Here is a 25,900-nt window from a genome sequence, read left to right as displayed (position 1 = left end):
TTATGAACCAATGCCCCCAAATAACAAGGCAATTGATGAAAAAAATTTGTTAATTAATTTTTTTAGTTGATAGATGAAGAGCTTTTAAAAATAAGACTCTGTGGGCTATGAGAGAAAGATGAACTAGAGATTAGTATGATTTCCTGAGCTTAATGTTTTTTACAGAGGCAAATAGGGGAATCTGATAGATTGGGACTTTCATTAAATGTCATTAAACATGGAAAATTGAGGGGCAAAGAGTAGAAATGAAGAGGTTTGCACTTTTATTCAACTGCTCAAGGTCTGCTCTTTTTATAGTTACTATGTGCAAATAAATTGCATTGCCACATGTATGGAAACACACACATATATATACACCACACATACCATGTAATTTAAGAAAACAAAATGTATTTTTAAAACATTTTGTGAGGTGAAGAATGAACATTTTTTAGTCTCTGGGGAATGAGAGTTAAAAATTATTTTTCCACTTTTTGATTTAGAGACCTTCACTCACACACAGATATTAACATATTTGTTTATATAATTTACATGTTTATATTTATTTGTATATCTATGCATCAAAACACATACACAAACTATATATCTATTATAATATCTATTATACATTTTATATAATAATCTATTATATATGTATATGTATAGATATATATACATAATATATAATATATAGTCTATTATATATAATATGTAGGGAGATGGATTCTATTTCCTCAGAATTTGATATGATCTATTTACCATTAAACTGCAGTTTACCTGCAAAATTTTCATTTTTCCACATATTATGAAAACACTGGTATTATAGTGATTAATAATGAGTTGTTTAGTATTTTCATTAGAAAGACTATATTTGCTCTTTAATCAAGTCCAATCCAACTTTCATGACATCCTGGTTGGTATATATATGTTAAAATTTGAGTCTAGCACAATATAATGATATAATAAGAATAGTGTATTGTAGTTTTATTTTATTACTTAGTAATTATGCAGAATGATCAAAATGGTGACTACTGCAAATACTTGTTTTATTTTTTCAGATTTCGAGATCCACTGGAAAGTGATACTATTGTGGTTCATGCCATACTGAGTGACCACAAGATATCCTCTTACAGGCTGGTGCAGCCCTCTAAGTACTCCAAATTCAAACGAGCTAGTCAATCAGAGAGAAAACCAAGCAAATTGGACAGGTTTGAAAAAGAGGGACCTGGAAGAAAGGACAGCCAGAGAGATGCAGGTAGCCTATGACAAGAAGGCTTTTAAATTCTTATTTACTAAGACTTCAAAAGTGAATTGTCTGTGGACAGAACCATTGAACCTTCTTTGGTGGCTTGAGCTCAATCTCTTGCCCCTCTTCCTTCCATGATGGTTTTCTTTGGAGTAAATAATCAAGAGAGACAAAAGTGTATGGTATAGCTGAGAATGAGAGGCCACATTTTCCCAAGAAATGCTCCATGTCCACTTTCCTCTTTAATGTAGTTTGTAAGAAAACCTACCCTGGTCATGTGACTGAGAGTGGGTGAGAGGACTGGATGCTGCTGTTTTCTTACTTGCCACATCTAGCTATTCTTAAATCTAGGATTTCCCCAGATGCTAGGTTCTAGGCAGTGGTTCGTTTTAGATTCCTGGGCCCTATTCCAAAGTGTAGGGCTAAAACACTGCATTTCAGACTATTTTCCAAGAACATATGCTTTAAATAGAATGATCAGAGAATAGAGGTATGAAAATAGTACCTCTAATCCCTGCAACCTGTTTCTTCTGGCTGCCCACAAGGTGACTGCAGATTAGTAAAAGAACAAGAATTCTGGAAATGGCTTGGAGAGCCATTCAATAATAAATAAAAGGTGCTGCTGCAGCCTGGCTAGATCTAGGCTATTGACAGTGATATAATACGAACATTAATATTGGTTTATCTTCTTCATTGGGAACTCTTTAATGTCTCCTTTTTGCTTCTAGGATAAATTCTGAAACCGCTGTCCTGATACTTAATCCTTCCACAATCTATCCCTGTTCTACGTTTCCAGTAGTGCTTTCTCATACTGTTCAGCTTGTCTGTTTAGTCTTTTGTCCTGCCTGCTGCTCCCTGATTATGTCTAACACTTCCTCACCCAGGCTCCTGCCAGAGTGACCTCTTCACTTCTCTCCTGTCTGAATTCTACCAATTCTTGGGGATGTAGCTTAAATTACACTTTTGTTTATAAGGCCTTCCCATGACCACACAGGCCACATAAACTCTTCTTTCTCTATACCGCTATATATTTGAAATTTGAAATATGAAATATGATGAAATGGTTATTTATAACTATATAAATATCTCATATTATTTAATTTTTCATGTCTCTAAAGCTTGAACACGAATAGAGTAATTCCCCAATAGGAACTTGTTAGTAGACCAGGTGTGGTGGCTCACACTTGTAATCCCAGCACTTTGGGAGGCCAAGGCAGGTGAATCACTTGAGGTCAGGAGTCCGAGGCCAGCCTGGCCAACATGGTGAAACCCCATCTCTACTAAAAAATACAATAATTAGCTAAGCACGGTGGCACATTCCTGTAGTCCCAGCTACCCAGGAGGCTGTGGCGGGAGAATCACTTGAACCCCAGAGGTGGAGGTTGCAGTGAGCCAACATTGCATCATTGCACTCTAGCCTAGGTGACAAAGTGAGACTCTGTCTCAAAAAAAAAAAAAAAAAAAAGAAAGAAAGAAAGAAAAGAAACTTGTTAGTTGATACAGCCATTTTTTTTTAATTTTTTATTTATTTATTTATTTTTGATACAGAGTCTCTCTCTGTTCCCCACGTTGGAGTGAAGTGGTCCAATCTAGGCTCACTGCAACCTCCACCTCTCAGGTTCAAGCAATTCTGGTACTTCAGCCTCCTGAGTAACTGGGATTACACCCGGCTAATTTTTTTTTTTTTATGTATTTTTAGCAGAGACGGGGGTTTCACCATGCCCAGGCTGGTCTTGAACTCCTGAGCTCAGGCAATCTGCCTACCTTGGCCTTACAAAGTGATAAGATTATGGGAGTGAGCCACCAAGCCTGGCCATAAAGCCAATAATTTTTAAATTATTTATTTGATTGTGTTTCTGATGAGTTTTTTAGTTGGCTTCAGAGCACTTCAGTTGGTATGTGCAACCTCAAATTGTATGTATCGAATTGGACTTACTCGATTTTTCTCCTTTTCCCCACCATCATCTCACAAACACTCTTTCCCAACATGTTAGTGGTCCACCATCATTTATCATGTTCTCTAATTGTTTATTATATATCTTATCTTGCCAACTTTTTAATAAGGGTTTTAAAAGCAAAAAATGTGGCTTAGATCTTTTTATTTTGACATTCCACAGTACTTATTATGGGGTTGAATTCATAGTAGTTGGTCAATAAATACATTTTTGTTTTTGTTTTGTTTTGTTTTGTTTGAGACAGAGTCTCACTCTGTTCCCCAGGCTGGAGTGCAGTGGCAAGATTTCAGCTTACTGCAACCTCTGCCTCCTGGTTTCAAGCAATTCTCCTGCCTCAGCCTCCCAAGTAGCTGAGATTACAGGAATGCACCACCACGGCTGGCTAATTTTTGTATTTTTAGTAGAGATGGGGTTTCACCACGTTGCCCAGGCTGGTCTCAAACTCTTGACCTCAAGTGATCCACCCGCTTCAGCCTCCCAAAGTGCTGGGATTACAGGCAAGAGCCACCACAACTAGTGCTCAATAAATACTTTGATTTACAAATTCAATATATTCTCTGTGTTTTTTCTAATGCAGCAGGTTAAAAACAATATCTGAGAGTTTTGTTTTTATGTCTCAAAAAGGCTGAAAAATGTTGATTCTCTATGTAGGTGGGAGTGTTACCATACAAGAAGAATCAATAATAGAAAAAGGGAAGAAATTTCGGCCTAAAACCCTAAGTGAAATCATCGTGGAAAATCAAATTGAGAAAACGAGAAAACTTATATTAAAAGCTGAAAGGGCACAACTAAAGATTCAACAGCGAAAAAAAGAATGGGAGGAACTGTGAGTTTTTTTTTACCTAAACTCTTATCTTTTTAATATGTGAGCCCCAAAATAATATATCTTAAAAATCTTTATATTTATTGACATTGTTATCATTTAAAATCAAAAGTGAAAACAATAAAAACAAAGAAGGAGATATTATAAACAGGTCAGCTGGATCTTTTAGGGTGGTGATACTTTGGTAGAACTTCTGTAATTCTTAGAGTTTCCGGTCCAGGAATTCCATTTTGCTAATAATACTGTATAGTCAGAATGATTTTTAAGAATTAAGAAATGCTTTTCTATCTCAAAATTATAAACATATTCTCCTGTATGTTCTTCTAACATCTTATAGTTTTGGCTCGTACCTTTATCTTTAACCATCTGAAGTTAATTGCTTTCTTTTAAAAAAAAAAATCCAGTATTGATATGGGAGTGCTGGGAAGGGAAAGGAGTGGTCCCTTTAAATGATATGGAAGGGAGGAAGGGAAGTGCTGGGTAGCGAAAGGCGTGGTCCCGGGCTGGGGCTCCATCCCCACGGACCTAGGTGAGGACAGGCATTTCCTGCCCAAGTGTTGCATTTCCCAAGACCACCCTGGCTTGCCATGCCCCTATCCTGGGCCTATTAAAACCTGAGACCATAGCAGGCAGACACAGAAGTGGCTGGACATCATGAGGGACACATTGGCAGAAGAAGACACAAGTAACTGGTCATCAAGAGCACGCTGACAGGCATCAACAGATGCCAGCACGCCGGCAGGCCATTGACCAGTGGGACGAGGCAGAGTTTGGCGGGACAGTCGGGCTGGGGCTGCCGAGTGGCCCAACTCCAGGGAAAAACCATCTCCCTTCTGGTTCTCCCATTGGTGGAGAGCTACTTCCACTCTATAAAAATTTGTACTCATTCTCCAAGCCCACATGTGATCCGATTCTTCCAGTACACCAAGGCAAGAAACCCCGGGATACAGAAATCCCTCTGTCCTTGTGATAAGGAAGGGGGTCTAATTGAGCTGGTTAACACAGGCTGCCTATAGACAGCAAGCTAAGAGAGCATCCTGTAAGACACGCCCATTGGGGCTTCAGCTGCAAACATTCACCCCTAGACACTGCCATGGGGTCGGAGCCCCACAGCCTGCCCGCCTGTATGCTCCCCTAGAGGTTTGAGCAATGGGGTACTGAAGAAGCGAGCCACACCCCCATCGCACACCCTGCGAGGGGGACAAGGGAACCTTTCCCATTTAAACTGGGGATTGCGGAAGGTGAGTGTGAGTGAATGCCAAACTTTTGGGTCTGCCTCTCTTTCGAAACCCTGCCACCTTTCTCTTTCCTGTGGGTAAGAGGCTCTGTTTCTCTTCACTGAGTTTTAAAAACTCCACCCTAACTGGGAGGTCGAAACCCCCAGACTTTGTCTCTTTTCTGTCTTTGAAATGGTTCTTATCTCTTTTTTTATAATGTTCTGAGTTTTGTTACAGGCTGTGGAAATGTTACTAAGCTAAATGAGCATTAGGCTCAGCCTCCGAAGGTGAAAATCAGACCAACTGTTCCTAGAGATGCCATGTATGCCTCCACTTTGACAGCTGCAGGCATGCATGGCTCAGGGCACCTCTCCTTACCCTTTTTCCTCCCAGATTGGGCACCTGGGCATGCCCGCAGCAGGCAAGGGTCGAGCCCAACAGTCACGAGCAGGGCGGGAGAAAGCCATGATGGTAGCCGCAACCCCACAGGGCCAATGGACATGTGCTTCTCGCCCACCACGCCAATTGACCCTCTCCTCCCCTGGCCAAGGAATTCAATCTAGTCTGAACTGGGGGACAGATACAAGGATTAGAAAGGCTCAGTTGCACTAAGCAAGGGGTTCTTCCCCCAGACTCTCTCCTCTTTTTGCCCCCTAAACTGTTTTTCTTTTTTTCCTTTTCTAAGTGAGAGGGCTCCCCCTAGCTCTGTTTCTGATATGAAAGTTAACAGGAATGGCCCCTGCTGGCTGAGAACTGCAAATTTGGCAGGGCACATTTGAGACACTCTAAATAGATACAAACAGCCTCTAAAATACTTTTTCAGTCCCAACCTCGATTCCAAGCTTCAGGTTGAGGCCCTAGAAAGAAAATCCCGGTCTGAGGGATCCAAAGCCAGGCAACAGGCACAATGTAAAGCAGGACCAATTCCTGCGGAGTAAACCTCTCACCCCATGGAAGGAGACCATGCTTCATGGCATAAACAGGCCCAAGGTACTCAGTTTTCCGACAGCAGGGAGAAATGGAGGCATAGGTGAGGGTGGTTAATTCCTATTCTCCAGGTTTCCCCTACTTCATTGGTACATACCGCAGTGGTACCTATGGCCAGCTCAGGGATAAGGGGTGGAAAGTGAAAGGAGGATGCTAGCTTTCTGTCTCCATCACACTCTGAGTTTTCACTGAAAGAAGGAAAGGAATGAGGGCTGCCTCTATTCCCTGTCTTTCAGAATGGGCAACCAGTTCTCTTCACCACCCCCAGCTGGAGTGTATCCTGAACCACTGGGACTGTTTGACCCTCAGAATCTGGAGGAAAAACCTCTCATAGCCCTCTGCACAAGGGTTTGGCCAAATTATGATTTACAGGAAGGATGGCTTGGCCTCAGGAAGGAACCATTCATTTTTGATACCATTCAGCAGTTGGAATTTTTCTGTGGATGTGAGGACAGATGGTCTGAAGCCCCATATGTGCAGGCTTTGTATAGCTTGCAAGGCAATCCAGACTTTTGCCAACAGTGTAGGATTGATTGATTCAGCCCTCCTGTTGGCCATCTCAGGTTGCAAGGGGTAAACCCAGGGAATTAAAGATATGAGTCTCAGAGGCACCCCCAGCAGAGGAGTCAGCTCTCTCCAGCCTTGCTCCTCCGGATCCACCTTGACCTCCTTATCCAGCTTCAGCCCCTCACTTGCCCCCTCTTAGAAATCCTCACCCTAAACAAGCCCCAGTCTCACTCTTGCCCCTCCAACAGATGCCCAGTGAATTTGGGCCCAGTAAGGCCAAGGTCCCCTTCTCCCTACAGGACTTACAGCAAATGAAGAGAAATCTTGGCAACTTTTCAGATGACCCTGTGAGACTTTCCAGAATTTCACCCAAATGTTTGAACGTTCCTGGAGAGATGTTATGTTACTTTTCAATCAGACCCTGACAGACACTGAGAAGCAGTCTGCTCTGCAAGCAGCAGAGAGATTTGGGGATTAAAAAAAAAATCTGGTATGAGGTAGTTTCACGTGACAAGCACATATTTTCATTGGTTTATTTGCCATCTATATATTTTTAGTGACATGACTCTTCGTGTCTTTTTCTCACATTTGAATAGGATTGTTCGCTCTTTTACTGTTGAGATTTTAGACTTCTTTATATATTCTAGATACTAGTCCTGGATATATACTATATGCTAGTTGGATATATAGTTTACAAATATTTTCTGTTAGTCTGTAGCTTGTCTTTTCATTCCCTTAACAGAGTTTGTTCTTTTTTTTTTTTTTTTTTTTTTTTTTTTTGAGACATTGTCTCGTGTGTTGTCCAGGCTGGCATGCAGTGGTGCAATCTCAGCTCACTGCAAACTCCGCCTCCTGGGTTCAAATGATCCTCCCACCTCAGCCTCCCAAGTAGCTGGGATTACAAACATGTGCCACCACTTTTGCATTTTTTTTTTAGTAGAGACAGGGTTTCATCATGTTGGCCAGGCTGGTTTGGAACCCCTGACCTCAAGTGATCTACCTGCCCTGGCCTCCCAAAGTGCTGGGAATACAGGTGTGAACCACTGCACTTGGCCTCCCTTATTAGAGAGTTTTGTCACAGAGCAACAGTTTTTAATTTAGTTGATGTCCAACTTACCAATTTTCCTTATATAAATCTTGATTTTGGTGTCAAGTCTAAGAACTCTGCCTTGCCCTAGGTCCTAAATATTTTATCCTATTTTTGTTTAAACATTTTATAGTTTTTCATTTTATATTTAAGCTAATTTTTAAATAAGTTATCAGACTTAGGTTGAGATTTGTTTGTTTTTTTCTTACGGATGTCCAATTACTCTAGCATTTTTGTTGAAAAGACATTTCCTCCTTTGAATTCCTTTTGCACCTTTGTCAGAAATCATTTGGACATATTTGTGTGGGTCTATTTCTGGGTTTACTTTCAAGTCTGTTGATCTACATATCTATCCTCTTACCAACACTACATTGTCTTGATTCATATATTTATATAATAGATCTTGAAATCCAGTAGAGTGATTCCTCTCATTTTATTTTTCAAAATTATTTTAGACATTATAATTACTTTGTCTTTCCATATAAATTTCAGAAAAATCTTGTCTATATGTATACAAAATCTTGCCATAATTTCAATAAGAATTATGTTAAAGCAGTGTATTACTTTGGGGAGAATTTGTATCTTTATTGTGTTGAGTCTTCTAATCCATGGACATGGTATGACTTTCCATTTATTTAGATTTTTGATTTCTTTCATCAGTGTTTTGCTGTTTTCAGCATAAAAAGTTCTATACATGTTTTGTTAGATTTGCACATATGCATTTCTTTTTTGAGCAATTTTAAATGGTATTGTGTTTTTAATATTGGTGTCTATGTGTTCACATTCACTGCTAGCATAGAAATATAATTGATTTTTGTTTGTTTATCTAGTATCCTGTGACCTTTCTGAACTGTCTCAGTTGTAAGATTTTTTTGGTAGGTTTCTTGGTATTTTAAGTGTAGACAACCATGTCATTTGTAAACAGGAACAGTTTTATTTCTAATCTGTTTGCATCTTATTTCCTTTTCTTATTGCACTGGCTAGAACTTCCAGTACTATATTGAAATACAGTGGGAAGAACTAGCATCCACACTTTGTTCCTTATCTTAGGAAGCATTCAGTGGTTAAATAATATAACTGCTTCCATCCTTTACCTCAATCTACCTATACTTTTATATTTGAAGTTAGTGTCTTTACTAACTTCACTAGGCAACATAAAATTGGGTCATGTTTTTAAATCCATGCTGCCCATTTCTGTCATTCAATGGTATATTTAGACCATTTATGTTTAATGTACTTATTTATATTTAGGGCTTACATCTGCTATTCTATATTTTGTTTTCTGTTTGTTCTATTTTTTGGATTTCTGTTTTCTTTCTTCTGCTTTACTAAGGAATTTGTCAATGAATTCATCTGTAAGTATTCTTTGAGGGATAGTTTTAAATACAAATTTAAAATTTTTGTTGTTATAGTGCTATCCAGATGTTCTATTTCTTCTTGAGTTAGTTTTTATAATTTGTGTCTTTGAAGAAATTTGTGCATTTCATCTAAGTTGTCAATTTTATTGGCATAAGGTAGTTTATATTACTCCCTTATATTTATTTTAATTTCTGTAGTATCTGTTTTGATGCCCTCTGTTTTATTTATATTGTTAATTTTCATATTCTCTCTTTTTCTTGATCATTCCAGCTAGTGATTTACCCATGTTATAGATCTTTTCAAAGAACTAGCTTTTGGTCATAGATTTTAAAATATTGTTTGGTCTGCTTTCTCTGTCATTGATTTACTATTATTTTTATAATTTCTTCCCTTCTAGTTAACTTAGGTTTAATTAGCTTTTAGTTTCTTGCTTCTTAATGTGTAAACTTGTGTATAAGCTTTGATTCTATGCCCTTCTTCTTTTGTAATATAAACATTTAAACTATAAATTTCCTCCTAAGCATTGAGTTAGCTGCATTACACATTTTCATATGGTAGACATTTATTATCACTTAGTCCAAAGTATTTCTAATATCCCTTGTGATTTCTTCCTTGACTTGTAGTTTAGTTTCCAAAGATTTGGGGTTTAAAAAATATCTTCCTATTAAATTTCTAATTTAGTTGTTTGTGGTAATAGAAAATAGTCTGTATAATTTAAGTTATTAAAGATTTATGGAGAACTGTGTTATGGCCACGCATATACAGTCTATCTACGTAAAAATTCAATATGTGCTTGAAAAGAGTATGCTTTCTTGCATTGCTTGGCATAGTGTTCTATAAATGTCAATTAGGACAAGAGGATTGATAATGTTTTTCATATCTTCTATGCCTTTCTCTCTTTGAAGCATGATTTTTTATGATTATTCTTGAATGTCCTCTGTACTCAACAAGGTCTCTCCAGTTGATGGGAACATGAGTGATTCCCAGCTATGTGTAAACTATGAGAATTATTTGTTCTACAGTTTCCCAGTAATTGTACTTTTCCTAGGAATTGTTCTTTGCCCAGCTTCATGGTGGTTCACATTACACATGTACAGATTAATACTCAGCCAAAATGTTAAGGCGCTATGTAGATTTCCAGAAGCATTTCTTTGTGTACCTCTGATATTCTTTTCCACAAATTCTTAGCACCAAATTTGGCCTCCCTGTACTCTGATCTCTGTCTCTTCAGTCAGTGAGTTCACTGGGCTGTATTTGGGATCCTGATCCTACTCCACAGGCTGGTAATTTCCTCTCTGCGGCAGCCAGGAGATAATAAGGATCATGTCTTTTTACTTTTCTCAAGAATTACAGTTTTATGCTGCTTATTTTCAGTGTCTGAACATAGTTGTTTCACATATTTTTTGTTCAGTTTTCTGGTTGTTTATATTATGAGGATAATAATGGGCCCTGTTACTCTCACATGGCCAGAGGCAGAAGTAGCTCTTCTCTTCCCTTCCCTCCCTTTTTCTTTCCTTCCTTTTTCTTTCTTTCCTTTCCTTTCTCCCTTTCTCCTTTCCTTTTCTTTAAAAATAGTAATCCTTCATTTTAGTGCAGTTTTACACAAATAAATGATTATCAGTTAATACAATAGATGGTATGGGTTTCCTGTGAGAGCTATGTGTACACGCTCATGTTGGCTAGTAGACTTTACTTTAAAAAATTAGACAGGAATGTTGTGATCTCCCAATGAAGGGCCTTTTATTAGTACCAAGGTACTATGATAGCCCATACCTTTAGATACCTGAGTGCTTCCAAAGCAAGAGTTCAGTTTCTGTAGAGAGTAATTCTTCAATTTTAGTCTGGATATAAAGATTGCCACTGTTTCGTATGTGTGTAGGTGGGAAAGTTTGGGAGGGCCCAACTGGTTTAAGCATTTTTTTTTCAATCCTTTAATTAATTTTGCTAAATATATCTAGCATTCCATTCCACTCTCTATACCTGTCCTCTTTGTGCTTGGAGCATTCTAGGGACTTCACCAAGAAGATAATATTCAATCCTTTTTGTGGCCTTATCTTGTGGGTATTCTGGGCTATAGTTTGGTCTGGTTTATTCATTAATGTAATTTCATCTTCTTTTTGTCTTCCAGAAATGGATCAGTGTCACTGGTTTGCTCATGGCTTTCTATTCCATTCTTAGCTTTTCTGATAATTTACAATGTTTTGTACTTCTATATTGTCATTTTCAGGGAATCTGGGGACAGAGGGAGAGGCAAATATGTATGCTCATGCTATCATCTTAAACTAGATACCTTTTCTGAAAATTTTACAGCAAGCACTTATGCAATTACAAAGTTTAATTTTCTGGGCATGATGGCTCACACCTATAATCCCAGCACATTGGGAGGCTGAGGTGGGCGGATCATGAAGTCAGGAGATGGAGACCATCCTGGCCAACATGATGAAACCCCGTCTCTACTAAAAATACAAAAATTAGCTGGGTGTGGTGGCGCATGCCTGTAGTCCCAGCTGCTTGGGAGGCTGAGGCAGGAGAATCGCTTGAACCTGGGAGGTGGAGGTTGTAGTGAGCCAAGATCACACAATTCACTCCAGCCAGGCAACACAGTGAGACTCCGTCTCAAAAAAAAAAAAAAAAGTTTAATTGACTTTTTAGTCATTAAAAAACCCACCTAATTTCCAAGGCTTAATTTATATCAAGAGAATAAATAACAATGTTAATATGAATTACTTAGAAGTGAACCAAAGCCTACCAGTAATTCAGATTATTTCAGTACAATCTAGTGATTGGTTCCTGTTTATATAATTGTATATTATTTTGCTTGGGATACTTTAAAAATAGTAATTGACTTTTAAAAAATGCTTGGGCTCTGTGACAAAAGTGGCATCACAGATTTGAAATCATACTTTTGTTTCATGATTAAATTTGAATATATGCCTATATTAAAGTAGACAAATTAGAGTTTATTGTCATATTTGTGTGTGGGGGGGTTGTCTGTTTTTCTAATAGATACAAGAGTAAACCTGGTGATGACTATGAAGATCCCAAAGATCTTCAAGCCATCAAAGAAGCCCAGGTGTATATGGGAGATTTCAATCTGAAGACAGCCCCAGACTACAAGATACCTGAGCACATGAGAATAAATGCTGCCAAGAAGGAAGAGGAACTAGGACACCTAGATTCTTTGGTACTTATCTACAGATTTTATGACAATGGAGAAGGCACCCTGGGTTCTTAATTAAATTCTGCTAAAACCACTCATTTCCCTATCTGGTCAATAAGAATATATAACCATAGAAATTTAGAACTGGAAAAGACTTCCATGATTATCTAGAATGTCCTCTTTTTACAAATAAGGAAACTGAGGCCCAGAGAGGACACGAGATTTGTCCATGGTTAGTCAGCTAATATGGAAGAACCAGCTGCAAATACTTACAGTATATCTGGGGGTTATAGATGGGTATTGCCTGACAGGTATGGCAGGGTCATCAAGGATATCTGGTAATCTAGGTCGGAGTTTGACTCTCTGATGAATGTCTCTATCTCTTTTTTTGCTGTGGCCTTATTAGAAGTATTAATACATCTTTGTTGAGTTAGCATTTCTCAGAAGACTCCTTCTGTCTTTGAGCTTTCCTTAAAATACCATGTTTTAGTACCAGTTTCATGGGTAAGCTTATATTTTGTGGACTTTGAACCTCTGAAATTCAAACAAATCCTCATTGGATGTAGTTTTTCGTTGCCATGGACCACCAAAGACTTAGATTTAAAAGGCCATTGTTTAACCTTTTTTTGTAGGACTTCCAAACTTTTCTAGGCAACTCAATGCTCACAAACTAATATATTTCTTTGTTCTTTTCTCTGCATTCTTCCAAACCACTTTCAATCATCCTGATCATTCTGATGCCCATTTTCTTATGAAAGTTCCTCTTCCTGCTATATTAATTCCTTAATCACCATTTGAAATGACAAGTGACTTTTTATACTTAAAGGCTTAAAGGTCATCTGAGCTACTACTTTTAGGAGAACTCGATACATCGTAACCTAATGTGGTTGTGGAGGTTGCACATTTCAAGGCATCACTTTGGAGAGGGTGCCAATCACATCATGGTTATATTAATAGTATTTTTGAATATTTTGTAATTTTCTGACAAATGAAAATGAAATGTCCTGAGGAAGGGGTGTCTTTTTCTGTTTCACCAAAGAGATGCATCCCAGCAGCACAAGGGTCCTGGCTTGGCAATTCATATTCACAAATCCATTTTCATAACTCATAACTGTGTGTTTCTCATCAAAATGGACAATTTGGACATTTTAGTAATGACCATTTGGATTGTTTTCCTAGTTGTTCTTCTAAGGTAATTTTTATTTATTCATCATGTTACATACATCATTGTAGAGAAATGTTCTTATGACCACAATTTATCCAATCTGAAATTTCATACTCTAGCTAGAGGAGATGGGCAGGTATGATATCTTCAACTTAATTGCATTACACTGAAATTTGCTTTATTAAAATAAAATCACATAGAACACCTTTTTCTACAAGTCAGAAGACTGGAGTTCTGTTTCCATCTCTGCCACTTAATAGCCATGTGAACTTTGCTAAGTCATATAAATCTCCCTAAGCCTTTTATTTCATCTGTAAAAAGAGTATTAATACCAATTAACAATAAGACATGTCTGGTATACCTCATAGGGTTAATTTAATGGTCAAAATCCATAAATGGTCTTTATTGTCATGGTCAAATTGAAAATCATTGAAAAGTATTAAATATTTTTAAAATAGTGTATTATTTGTCTTTTTTCTCAGCCAGTATTTAGGTTTGTGTGGTATTTGAAAAACTAGAAAGAAAGAGTTGATGTGTGAAGAGTCTCCTTAAAAAGGTAGGCCTTACAGCCATCAGTGATATGGGTTTGTTCTTGGTGGCCTAATCTGCAGTCCTTCAGACACTTCACAGGTGGTTGTCCATTCACCCAACTGCTGGCTTTTGAGTTTAAACCTTAGTGATTTAAAGGTTTATTTTCAAGTTGCAGAACATTTCCTCTATCTTGATACAGTTTTCTGTGTTGCAGATAGTAAATATATATGTAGCTTTTGTAAGACTGCTTGAGGGAGTGACTTTTGATCTTTAAAAAACTGTATGTTTATGCAAAGTAACTCTTAATGGCCTTTGGACAATCTAGTAGCCTAACTGCACACAGGAAGTACAGTAGGGTTGCATGTGCTCTCAGGCTCTCAGAATGGCATTTAGAAAACACAGACCAGGGAGACAGCTGGTAATGAAAGAGCAATGAGATTGTATAGCCCCTGTGCCTGGAAGCAGAGGCACAGCTTGGCTTTGATAAATGGAGAAGGAATGAAGGAAGGATCCTGCAGTCTCTTGGTGTGACATGCTACTGAAATTCAGAATCATGGCCTTGCCTACACAAGGACTAACAATAATCATGTGGCCAAAATACAGAATGAAAATAGGCTAACCTGTAGTTTGGGCCTAGGTGGGCAGCCCTAAGTGAGTCTAAGTCAAAGGGATTCAAAGTTCCAGGAGGAAAATGAATTAATTGCCTTTCCCTTCCTCCCTGGAGAGAGTATCCAGCTTGAACAAGGCTCCTGGAAGGACTTCCATGGAGTGATAAAGGAGGACAGGGGAACTCAGCCACACGAGCCAGCTGGAGGGAACAAATCGTGGGAAGCCAAGAGATACCAGAGGTCATATGTAGTCTGTCCTTCCATCTTGGAGGGCCTAAATGGAAAAAATCCTCAATATTAAAGAAAAGGGAAACTTGGTGGTAAAAAGGTATGATCAGATGAATTTTTATCTTGAATTTTTTCTAGGCCTTTCAGCAACAGAAAAGAGCAGATCATATTCCATACAGTTATTTGTCAGAGGGTTGTACTGTTGTTTCCTTCCTCTTCTTTTTTTCAGGTCCATGGAAATAAAAGGCACATGAACAAGTGCATTCTCTCTCTTAGAGACCTTAAAGTGGCTGTTGTTGAGGAAATACAGTGCCTGGTACAAGAACTGAAGAACATTCAGTCGACTCTTCACATATCCAAGCACATACCCATTCCCAAAATTCCTCAGATACACCCAGAAGAAGTTCCAGAAAAGAGATTTCAGTATGATGAAGAAACTCTCCTAAATTTTAAGCAACAGCAAATGAAAAGTAAAGATGAAAAGTCCCCCGGAGTGGAACAGACAGGGTCTGGAGGCCCAGTTGGAGGATTCCTCAAACTCTCTTCTAGAAAGGATGGGGATTTGACAACCCGTGATTCAATATCTAGATCATCAAAGGCATCAACATTCAGCCTAGATATACCAAAGTGTTTGGAATTTGAAAAAGCAGAGCCAACGGATGTGGAGCTGGAAATTATGAAGAGAGACGAGATTAAACACGTGTACATGCAACAGTATTTGGTCAACAGGGTAAGGGGTGAACCTGTTCCTAGTTAAAGCTGAAAGAGAGAAGAGAAGGGAAAAAATTGGGTCGGGTTTTTTGTTTATTTATTTAAAATTTCTCTGCATGAACCTTTCCCAAACCCTGACCAGCTTACCACTCAGTGATGGCTTGGCTTCCTCCCCATCCTTGGCCTTCTGGAAATCACTGTGCTCTTCCCAGAACTACAGAGCTTTTAAACTTTTTTTTTTGTTTTGGAAAGCTGACAAAGAATGAAGGGGAAGCCCATGTTTCAGTTACTTGGCATCTAACTGAAGTCATCGTAAAGGGGAAGTGGAGGAGCAGCTTTTAGATGATGGATGGAACATAGATAATGGATGGAACATAGCTAAGAATTTTCCAGAGAAACAGGGCACCCTCTGCTTTTCACACCATCCTTTTTCTCTAATATGTGGTTTGTTCCATTAGTAGAAGTGTTTATGGTGATTACTGGGTTTGAGATTGTTCTGGAGCTGGAATGGCGACTATTCTTATTTCTAGGAAATTCAGGACCAGACTAGGGCCTGTTGGGCAGGATGTTCTTTGAATATGAAAGAATAACCTTTCTTGGATAGATAACTCTCTGCTGTCAGCCATGTAGATTCCCTTTCCTCAGTGTGTCTTTCCAGCTTCACCCTGTGGTGATGCCCTCAGTAGCTTCCCAGCCTTATTCTTCACCATTATCTCTTCTTTGTCCAGCCCTGTTTTCTCACTGTTCTTGCCTCTCTCCACTCCACCTTTTCCTCCCACACCATTCTGAGTTTTGCATCTGTGCTTTTTCCTTTGCTGTTTCCTTCTACCAGTAATGACTTCCTTCCACCAGTAATGACTTCCTTCCAGAGTTGAGTTATCATTCAAAGCATGGCTCAGTTCCAAACCCTCTCCAGCATTTTCCGCCCACATTACTTATGCTGTCCTTGTTTCTAAACTCCAGTTGCACCTGTAATAAGCATCTCATGTTTTACACTAATTTTCCTTGCTGTTTCATGGGTATTAGTATTGTCTTGAAAATTAAATTACACAATTCTTGAGCAAAGGGCCACATATACTTCTGATTCCTCCACATAGTCTAGGACAATGTCAAACATATAATAGATATTCAGTCAAAAGTTTTGATTGATTTAATTGTAACTAATTTATTAATTTAGCAAATATTTATTGGATGTTCTGTATGCAGGGACACTGATAGATAGGATTAGGGATACAACAATTCTTAAGAAAGACATGTTCTCTATCTTCACAAAGCTTATAGGCTATTGGGATTGGAGAGAATAAAACAAGTGTAATCCTTACAGACTTGGAGACCTATGTGGTCCTCCAAATAAATGCAGGAATAATTCAAGTTTGTTAAACAAGCTTTAAAGGGGAGCCCAAACATATAGTCTATAGAGATGGTTACTTAAAAGTTTAATTTTTTCTTCTCTCTCTGTTTTTTTTTTTTTTTTTTTTTTTTTTTTTTTTAAGCTCTCTAAATTTCTCTGGTAGTTTCACTGCTCCAAACCCACAGATCTCTTTCTCTCCTCAGCCCCAGTCTGGGTCCTCACTTACTATAGGCTTTTGACAGTTGAGGCCACCTATCATGTACAAACTAATTAAAAACATAGAATGGTTTGTCTCTTCCTATTGTTCCAGTTTCCTCAGGAGAATCAGCCCTTGGGGCTCTCTCTTGACCTCTTCATCTCCTTTGTGATACTGGGGGGGAAAGCTGGGGGAAAGCTGTACCAAAATCAGAACAAAACTGAGGACTTAAAATTAGTAGGACCATAATGGATTAAAGTCTGGACCAGGACTTGGGATACTTCGGCTCTTATCAGGAAAAGTAACTTTGACCTTAATTTCTTCAATCTTAGAAAGAGATTGAACAGGTTTTTTGTGGCTCCATGATTATTTTATCTATTTAAAAATATTTACCATTCTGTGGTTTTGAAAATTTTCAACATAAGAAGTTGGGAAACGTATTTATTTGTGCTTACTATATAAAAGGGATTGTAGAGATACTATGGAGAATAAAGAGGAGACAGATAGAAACACTACCCACTCAGAGAGCTCATAAGCTACACAGTAAAGCAAGAAGGGCATTCTTGATTGATGGCTTAGTTAATGGTGAAGAAATAGGTGGAAGGACTTCTAGTTACACAATTCCTACCACTTAATAAATTAATTTATGTAAACTTAATGCCATTAATGAATTTATTTTTGTGACTATACACACACACACAATTCTCCATCCATAAGGGCATAATAAAAAATGACTTCATACAAATTAGTACTGTTAGATAGTTTAAAAATGCATTTATCTAGTCTTCTAACGTATCCGCAAATATTTTTTCCATCTCAGATCAAAGAACTGGTTGTCACTTTCGATGCAGAACTCCGTCTCCTTAGACATCAGAAACTAAAACTAGATACTCAGATGAAATTATCTGACCTGCACCATGTCACCTTATTTCAAGAAATACTTCTCCTGAAGAATTTTGAAAAACAGGAGAACATACTTCAAGAACGTGTTAATTCCTTAGACAAAGAGGAACAGTACATGCAAGTATGAGTGGGCAGAAGAATCCTAGCTGGCTGGTCCCTTAGTTATGGAGAAACTTGATTTCTTTTTCTTCTTAACTCAAATCTCCCACTTGTTCTAGCCCTTATCTCTTTCTTGTCTTCTTTCCCCCTCCTCCTTTTTCCTGTTATTCCTACCTAGTCTCCATCTTTAGTATTCATGGTCAAAGAGAAATGATTCAGATTTTTTAGTAAATTTGGTCTGATATTCTGTAAGGTAGAAGAATAAAATTTTCACAAGTTAGCCTTTGATTGTGCCACTCTACACCAGTCTGGTGAGTTGGGTTCCCTAAAAAACAAAAAAGTAAGCTATGATATAAAATTGAGTTTTGATTATATGTTATCCTTATGAAAACAACTGAAAAAGAAGCTGGTGAGTTTCTTAAGTATGACAGCTTCAGTGTAATATATGATTGAATATCATAAGAAATGAGGTTCCTTTATTTGTTATATTTGTATATTAAATTTCAGAAAATAAATTATACTAGCTTTGTTTTAAAATAAGAAAGATTCTATTAAACAGATAGTATATGCTAAATAGTAACATTCATTTTTAGGTATATTAGCTTCACTAGAAATTATATGTCTCTTTGTTTTAGTTATATATCAATACAAAAAATTCATTGGTTTTTGAGACTACACATGCAAAAATATTAGCTGACATCCACATATTCAATTTAAGGAATTTCAAGGAAAAGTTTCAATTTAATTTAGATTTTGGGGGGATGCTTAGCACTAAAAAGCTGATTTTCTAATTCTAAACATGACTGATTTTTACAAAGGAATTATAAAATTTTAACCAATAAATGGATGGCTCTGCAAACATCAGAAATGTAACCTTCTTTTAAGAAGTTTTAAAAAATATATTTGTAAACTGTAACCTTGTATTGTAAAGTACATTGCTCTCTGAACTTGGTTTATCAGAAATATTTATCATTTGTCCTTGTTTTTATTCATTTAGTGGAAAATAAATGAAACTCTTAAAGAGATGGAAGAGAAAAAGAATGAAATCACCAAACTCCAGGAGCAAGAAAAGGCACTCTATGCTGGTTTTCAAGCAGCCATTGGAGAAAACAATAAATTTGCAAACTTCCTCATGAAGGTCCTAAAGAAGAAGATTAAACGGGTAAAGAAAAAAGAAGTTGAAGGAGATGCTGGTTTGTATTTCTTTCTTGCATATGATCTTATTTTCTCTCATTAACATGAAATAGAGAGGTAACTAAGGGACCTATTAGATACCTTATTTTTTTCACTATAACATGGACAATGTAGAGACACTGTGGGGGCTAAAGAGGAGAAGACATAAACCTTAGGGTCTTCCAACACCTCGAGTTAATCTGTGTGCATGTTTGTTTGCACATGTGTGCACATGTTTATGTGTATCTGGTATGAGTGAGCATAGTGTAGTTTAAGTTAATAAGCACATCTTTTTATGTGTTTATTTGCCATATGTATATCTTATTTGGTGAAATGTCTCCTTTTGCCCATGTTTGAATAGGATCATTTGCTTTTTTTACTGTTGAGTTTGGAGAGTTCTTTATATATTCTGTATACTAGTCTTGTGTCAGATATGTGGTTTGCAAATATTTTTTCCTAGTGCGTAGCTTGCCTTTTCATTTACTGTAGTATCATTTGTTGAAAAGGTTGTCTCTCTTCGACTGAATTGCTTTGATCTTTGTCAAGATCATTTGGGCATCTTTGTGTGGATGTATTTCTAGGTTCTGTTACATTGATCTATGTGTCAATATTTTCACCAATACTACAGTCTTGATTATTGTAGCTACATATTGAGCCCTTAAATCAGGTAGACTAACTCCTCCTACTTTATTCTTCTTTTGTAAAATTGTTGTAGCTATTCTAGTTCCTTGATATTTCCGTATTTTAGAATAATCTTCTTTATATCTACAAAAAATCTTGTTGGAAATTTGATAGTAATTGTGTTAAAACTGTATATTAACTTGGAGACAACTGGTATCTTTACTACATTGAGTTTTCCAATGGAAAGCACAATATGCCGTAGTCCGAGCTACTAGGGAGGCTGAGACAGGAGAATGGCGTGAACCCAGGAGGCGGAGCTGGCAGTGAGCTGAGATCATGCCACTGCACTCCAGTCTGGGCGACAGAGCAAGACCCTGTCTCCAAAAAAAATAAAAAATAAAAAAGGCACAATATATCTCTATTTATTTAGAACCTCGGTTTCTTTGATCAAAATTGTATACTAGTATTCAGTATATAATTCATGTTCATGTTTTGTTAGATTTACACCTATTTCCTTTTTTAGTGATTTTTTTTTTTTTTTTTGAGACGGAGTCTGGCTCTGTCACCCAGGCTGGAGTGCAGTGGCGTGATCTCGGCTCACTGCAAGCTCCGCCCTCGGGTTCACACCACTCTCCTGACTCAGCCTCCCAAGTAGCTGGGATTATAGGCTCCCACCACCACGCCTGGCTAATTTTTCTATTTTTAGTAGAGACAGGGTTTCACTGTGTTAGCCAGGATGATCTCAATCTCTTGACCTTGTGATCTGCCCACTTCAGCCTCCCAAAGTGCTGGGATTACAGGCATGAGCCACTGTGCCCGGCCCCTTTTTTAGTGATTTTAAATGATACTGTATTTTTAATCTCAGTGTCCTCATGTTCATTGCTACTAATAGATTTTTACATGTTTAGCTGATATCCCGTAACCTTACTTATTAGTTCTAAGAGGTTTTGATAGATTCCTTGGGGATTTCTATGTAGATGATTAGGTTGGTGCAAAAGTAATTGTGGGTTTTGCTATTAATAATGGGAAAATAATTTCACCTAATAATTTCGTCTGCAAATATAGGCAGTTTTATTTATTTATTTCTGATCAGGATGCCTATTTCATTTTCTGGCCTTATTGCATGGCTAGAACATCCAGTACTATGTGAGTGCTGAAAGCTGACATTCTTGCTTTATTTTCAATATTAAGTATAATATTACCTGTAGGTGTTTTATAGATACTCTATTAAGTTAAGGAAGTTCACCTCTGTTCCTCTTTTTCATGAATTTTTTTCGTGAATGGGGGTGAAAATTTGTCAGATGCCTGTCTACATTGATTCATGATCATGTAATTTTCTTTTTAGCCTATTAATATGGTAGATTACATTGGCTAATTATGGATTATTAAATCAGAATTGCATTTCTGAAATAAACCTTCCTTGGCATAGTGCAAAATTCTTTTTATATATTGATTAATTCTATTTGCTAATATTTCATTAAGAAATTTTTTGTCTATATTCATGAAGATCATTTTTCTGTAGTTTTCATTTTTGGTACTGTCTTTGTCTGGTTTTAGTATCAGGGTAATAAAAACTAGCTTCTTAATATGAATCAGAAAATTTTCTTTTCCATTTGATTTTCTGGAAGATCTTGCATGGAATTGGTGGTAATTATTCTTTAAACACTTAGTAGAATTCACCAGTGAAAGCTTTTGGATTTGAACATTTCTTTTGGGGGAGTTTTTAAATTACAAATTCAACTTTCTTAATAGTTATAGGGTTGTTCAAATGATCTATTTCTCTCTTTTTTTTTTTTTTTTTGAGACGGAGTCTTGCTCTGTCACCAGGCTGGAGTGCGGTGGCGCGATCTGTGCTCACTGCAACCTCCACCTCCTAGGTTCAAGCGATTCTCCTGCCTCAGCCTCCCAAGTAGCTGGGACTATAGGCACGTGCCACCATGCCCAGCTAATTTTTTTGTGTTTTTAGTAGAGACGGGATTTCACCATGTTGGCCAGGATGGTCTTGATCTCCTGACCTTGTGTTCCACCGGCCTTGGCCTCCCAAAGTGCTGGGATTACAGGCGTGAGCCACTGCACCCAGCCCAAATGATCTATTTCATATTGGGTGAGTCATGGTAGTTTGTGGTTTTTTGAGGAATTGGTATATTTCATCTAAGATGCCAAATTAATACATGAATATCCTTATCTTTTTAGTGTCTACAGGGTCTGTAGTAATATCACCTGTTGCATTCTTTTTTTCTAAAAAAAAATTCAGCTTTTATTTTAGATACAGGCGGTATATGTGCAGGATTGTTACATTGGTATATTGCACCCAGGTAGTGAGCATAGTACCAAATAGGTAGTTTTTCAGCCAATGCCCCCCTCCTTCCCTCACCACTCTAATAGTCTGCAGTGTCTGTTGTTCCCGTGCTTATGTCCATGTGTGCTCAATGTTTTTAGCTCTCATTTACAAATGAAAATATGTAGTATTTGGTTTTCTGTTCCTGTGTGAATTCGCTTAGGATTATCACCTCCAGCTCCATCCATGTTGCTGCAAAGGTCATGATTTCATTCTTTTTTTATGGCTGTGTAGTATTCAATGGTGTATATGTAGATTTTCTTTGTCCAACCCACCATTGATAGGCACCTAGGTTGATTCCATGTCTTTGCTGTTGTGTATAGCACAGTGTTATGGTTTGGCTGTGTCCCTACCGAAATCTCATCTTGAATTTTGGTCCCCATAATCCCCACATGTATGGGAGGGATCTGGTTGGAGGTAATTGAATCATGGGAGTGGTTACCCTCATGCTGCTATTCTCATGATGAGTGAGTTCTCATGAGATCTGATGGCTTTATAAGGGGCTTCCCCGCCGCCAACTTCACTCTGCACTTCTCCTTCCTGCTGCCATGTGGAGGAGGACATGTTTGCTTCCCTTTCTACTGTGATTTTAAGTTTCCTGAGGCGTCCCCAGCCATGCTGAGCTGTGAGTCAATTAAACCTCTTTCATTTATAAATTACCCAGTCTTGCATATGTTTTTATTAGCAGTGTGAGAATGGACTAATACACATGGCAATGAACATGAGTGCATATGTCTTTTTGGTATAATGATCTATTTTCCTTTGTGTATATACCCACTAATAGGATTGCTGGGTCAAATGGTGGCTCATTTTTAAGTTCTTTGAGAAATCTCCAAACTGCTTTCCACAGTGGCTGAACTAATTTACATTCCCACTAATGGTGTATAAGTGCTCCCATTTCTCCATAGCCTCACCAGCCTCTTTTTTGACTTTTTAATAATAGTTATTCTGACTGGTGTGAGATGGTGTCTCATTGTGGTTTTGATTTGCACTTCTCTGATGATTAGTGATTATGAGTATTTTTTTCATGTTTGTTGCCTGCTTGTAGGTAATCTTTTGAGAAGTGTATGTTCATGTCCTTTGCCCATTGTTTAATAGAGTTATTTGTTTTTTGCTATAGATTCTGGATATTGGTCTTTTGTTGGATGCATAGCTTGTGAATATTTTCTTCCATTCTGTAGGTTGTCTATGGCTAGCCAGTTATCCCAACACCATTTATCAAATAGGAACTTCTTTCTCCATTGCATGTTTTTGTCAACCTTGTTGAAGATAAGATGGTTGTAGGTGCACAACCTTATTTCTGAGTTTTCTATTCTGATCTTGCGGTCTATGTGTCTGTCTGTTTTTGTACCAGTACTGTGCTGTTTTGGTTACTACAGCTTTATAGCTGAAGTTAGGTAGTGTGATGCCTCCAGCTTTGTGGATTATCTTTAGGATTGCATTGGCTATTTGGGCTCCTTTTTGGTTCCATATGAATTTTAGAATAGTTTTTAGTTTTTTCTAGTTGTGTGAAAACTGATGTTGGTAATTTGATAGGAGTAGCATTGAATCTGTATATTGCTTTGGAGGATATGCCATTTTAATGATATTGATTCTTCTAATCTATGAGCATGGGATGTTTTTCCATTTATTTTTGTCATCTCTGATTTCTCTCAGCATTGTTTTGTAATTCTCCTTGTAGAGATCTTTCACCTCTTTGATTAGCTATGTTCCCAGGTATTTCATTTTTATTGTCACTATTGTAAGTGGGATTATATTCTTGATTTGATTTTCAGACTGTACATTATTGATGTATAGAAATGCTACTGATTTTTGTATATTGATTTTGTATTCCAAAACCTTGCTAAAAATATTTACCAGTTGTAGTAGCCTCTTGGCAATCTTTGGGGTCTTCTAAGTATAGAATCATATCACCAGCAAAGATAGTTATTTTGACTTCTTTTCCTATTTAGATGCCTTTTATTTCTGTTTGTTGCCAGATTGCTCTGGCTAAGACTTACAGTACTTTGTTGAATAGAATGGTGAGAGTGGGCATTCTTGCCTTGTTCCACTTCTCAAGAAGAATGGTTCCAGCTTTTGCCTATTCAGTATGATGTTGGCTATGTGGATTTGACATAGCGCTCTTATTATTTTGAGGTATGTTTCCTCAATGCCTAGTCTGTCAAGGATTTTTATTATGAAGATATGTTTGATTTTCTTGAAAACTTTTTCTGCGTCTATTACGATGATCACATGGTTTTTGCTTTTAATTCTGTTTATGTGGTGAATCACATTTACTGATTTACGTATGTTGAACCAATCTTGCATCCCAGGAATAAAGCCTGTTTGATCATGGGGAATTAACTTTTTGATGTGCTGCTGGATTTGGTTTGCTAGTATGTTTTGAATATTTTTGCGTCTATGCTCATCAGAGATATTAGCCTGAAGTTTTCTTTCTTCATCATATCTCTGCCAAAAAATTTTGATATTAGGCTGATGCTGGTTTCATAGAATGTTTTAGGGAGGAATCCCTCCTGTGATGGTGAGTGTCAACATGATTGGATTGAAGGATGCAAAGTATTGATCCTGGGTGTGTCTGTGAGGGTGCTGCCAAAGGAGATTAACTTTTGAGTCAGTGGGCTGGGAAAGGTAGACCCACCCTTAATCTGGGTGGGCACCTCTAATTAGCTGACAGTGTGGCTAGAATATAAAGCTGGCAGAAAAATGTGAAAAAACTAGACTGGCCTAGCCTCCCAGCCTACATCTTTCTCCCATGCTAGACCCTTCCTGCCCTCGAACATTGAACTCCAAGTTCTTCAGTTTTGGGGCTTGGACTGGCTTTTCTTGCTCCTCAGCTTGCAGACAGTCTATTTTAGGACCTTGTGATCATGTGACTTAACACTTAATAAACTCCTTAATACTTAATAATATACATCTAGATATATATAACTTCATTATATATACATATATATAACTTCATTATATATATACATATATAACTTCATTAAGTACTGTATATCTAGATATATATTACATCTATATATCATATATATCATATATGATATATAGATGTAATATATATCATATATATCAATATATATCATATATATATCATGTATATATCTGCTCCATGTTCTTGAGCTGTGCACCACAGCCCTGGAGACACTGGGATATCTTGAGATTCAGGGTCAGGGTCAGGGTCAGGTTCCAGCTGCACTGGGGGATCTGATTTGCTTTGCAGTTGCCAGAACAAATATAGATCTATATATATTGAGAGAGAGAGAGAGAGAGAGAGAGAGAGACTAATATACCTCCTCAATTTTCTGGAATAGTTTCAGTAGAATTGGTACCAATTCTTCTTTGTATGTCTGGTAGAATTCAGCTGTGAATTCATCTGATGCAGGGCTTTTTTTCATTGTTATCTATTTTTTATGACTGATTCAATTTCAGAATTCAATATTGTTCTATTCACTGTTTTAATCTCTTCCTTATTCAATCTTGGGAGATTATGTATTTCCAGGAATTTATCCATTTCCTCTAGATTTTCTGGTTTGTGTGCATAGAAGTGTTCATAATAGTCTCAGAAGTGTTCATAATTAGTCTCTGATTATCTTTTGTGTTTCTGTGGGATGAGTTGTAATGCCATCTTTGTCATTTCTAATTGTACTTATTTGGAT

At 37.5% G+C, this 25,900-nt stretch overlaps 1 protein-coding gene and 1 long non-coding RNA gene across 7 annotated transcripts in view; both read left to right on the top strand.

Moving 5' to 3' along the window:
- SPICE1-CFAP44 (SPICE1-CFAP44 readthrough (NMD candidate)) overlaps nucleotides 1-25,900 on the top strand; it is a 228,227-nt gene that overhangs the window by 169,407 nt on the left and 32,920 nt on the right. For 3 of the 6 annotated variants that reach the window (NR_183046.1, NR_183050.1, NR_183049.1), the window contains 5 exons: nucleotides 1,038-1,234; nucleotides 3,832-4,006; nucleotides 15,082-15,582; nucleotides 17,931-18,134; nucleotides 19,110-19,305. This is a non-coding gene — a long non-coding RNA (SPICE1-CFAP44 readthrough (NMD candidate)). Of the gene's footprint in view, nucleotides 1-1,037; nucleotides 1,235-3,831; nucleotides 4,007-12,166; nucleotides 12,345-15,081; nucleotides 15,583-17,930; nucleotides 18,135-19,109; nucleotides 19,306-25,900 lie in introns of all 6 variants that reach the window. The other 3 variants (NR_183045.1, NR_183048.1, NR_183047.1) reach the window with 3 other exon arrangements.
- Nucleotides 1-25,900, top strand: part of CFAP44 (cilia and flagella associated protein 44) — a 154,585-nt gene that overhangs the window by 95,765 nt on the left and 32,920 nt on the right. Inside the window, exons 23-28 of the mRNA NM_001164496.2 lie at nucleotides 1,038-1,234; nucleotides 3,832-4,006; nucleotides 12,167-12,344; nucleotides 15,082-15,582; nucleotides 17,931-18,134; nucleotides 19,110-19,305. Coding sequence (NP_001157968.1) covers nucleotides 1,038-1,234; nucleotides 3,832-4,006; nucleotides 12,167-12,344; nucleotides 15,082-15,582; nucleotides 17,931-18,134; nucleotides 19,110-19,305 — 1,451 coding nt within the window. The remainder of the gene's footprint in view (nucleotides 1-1,037; nucleotides 1,235-3,831; nucleotides 4,007-12,166; nucleotides 12,345-15,081; nucleotides 15,583-17,930; nucleotides 18,135-19,109; nucleotides 19,306-25,900) is intronic.

Source organism: Homo sapiens, chromosome 3 (genome assembly GCF_000001405.40).
Source record: "Homo sapiens chromosome 3, GRCh38.p14 Primary Assembly".
Lineage (NCBI taxonomy): Eukaryota > Metazoa > Chordata > Mammalia > Primates > Hominidae > Homo > Homo sapiens.
Note: the sequence above shows the minus strand (reverse complement) of the source record. Positions and strands in the feature narration are given on the sequence as shown.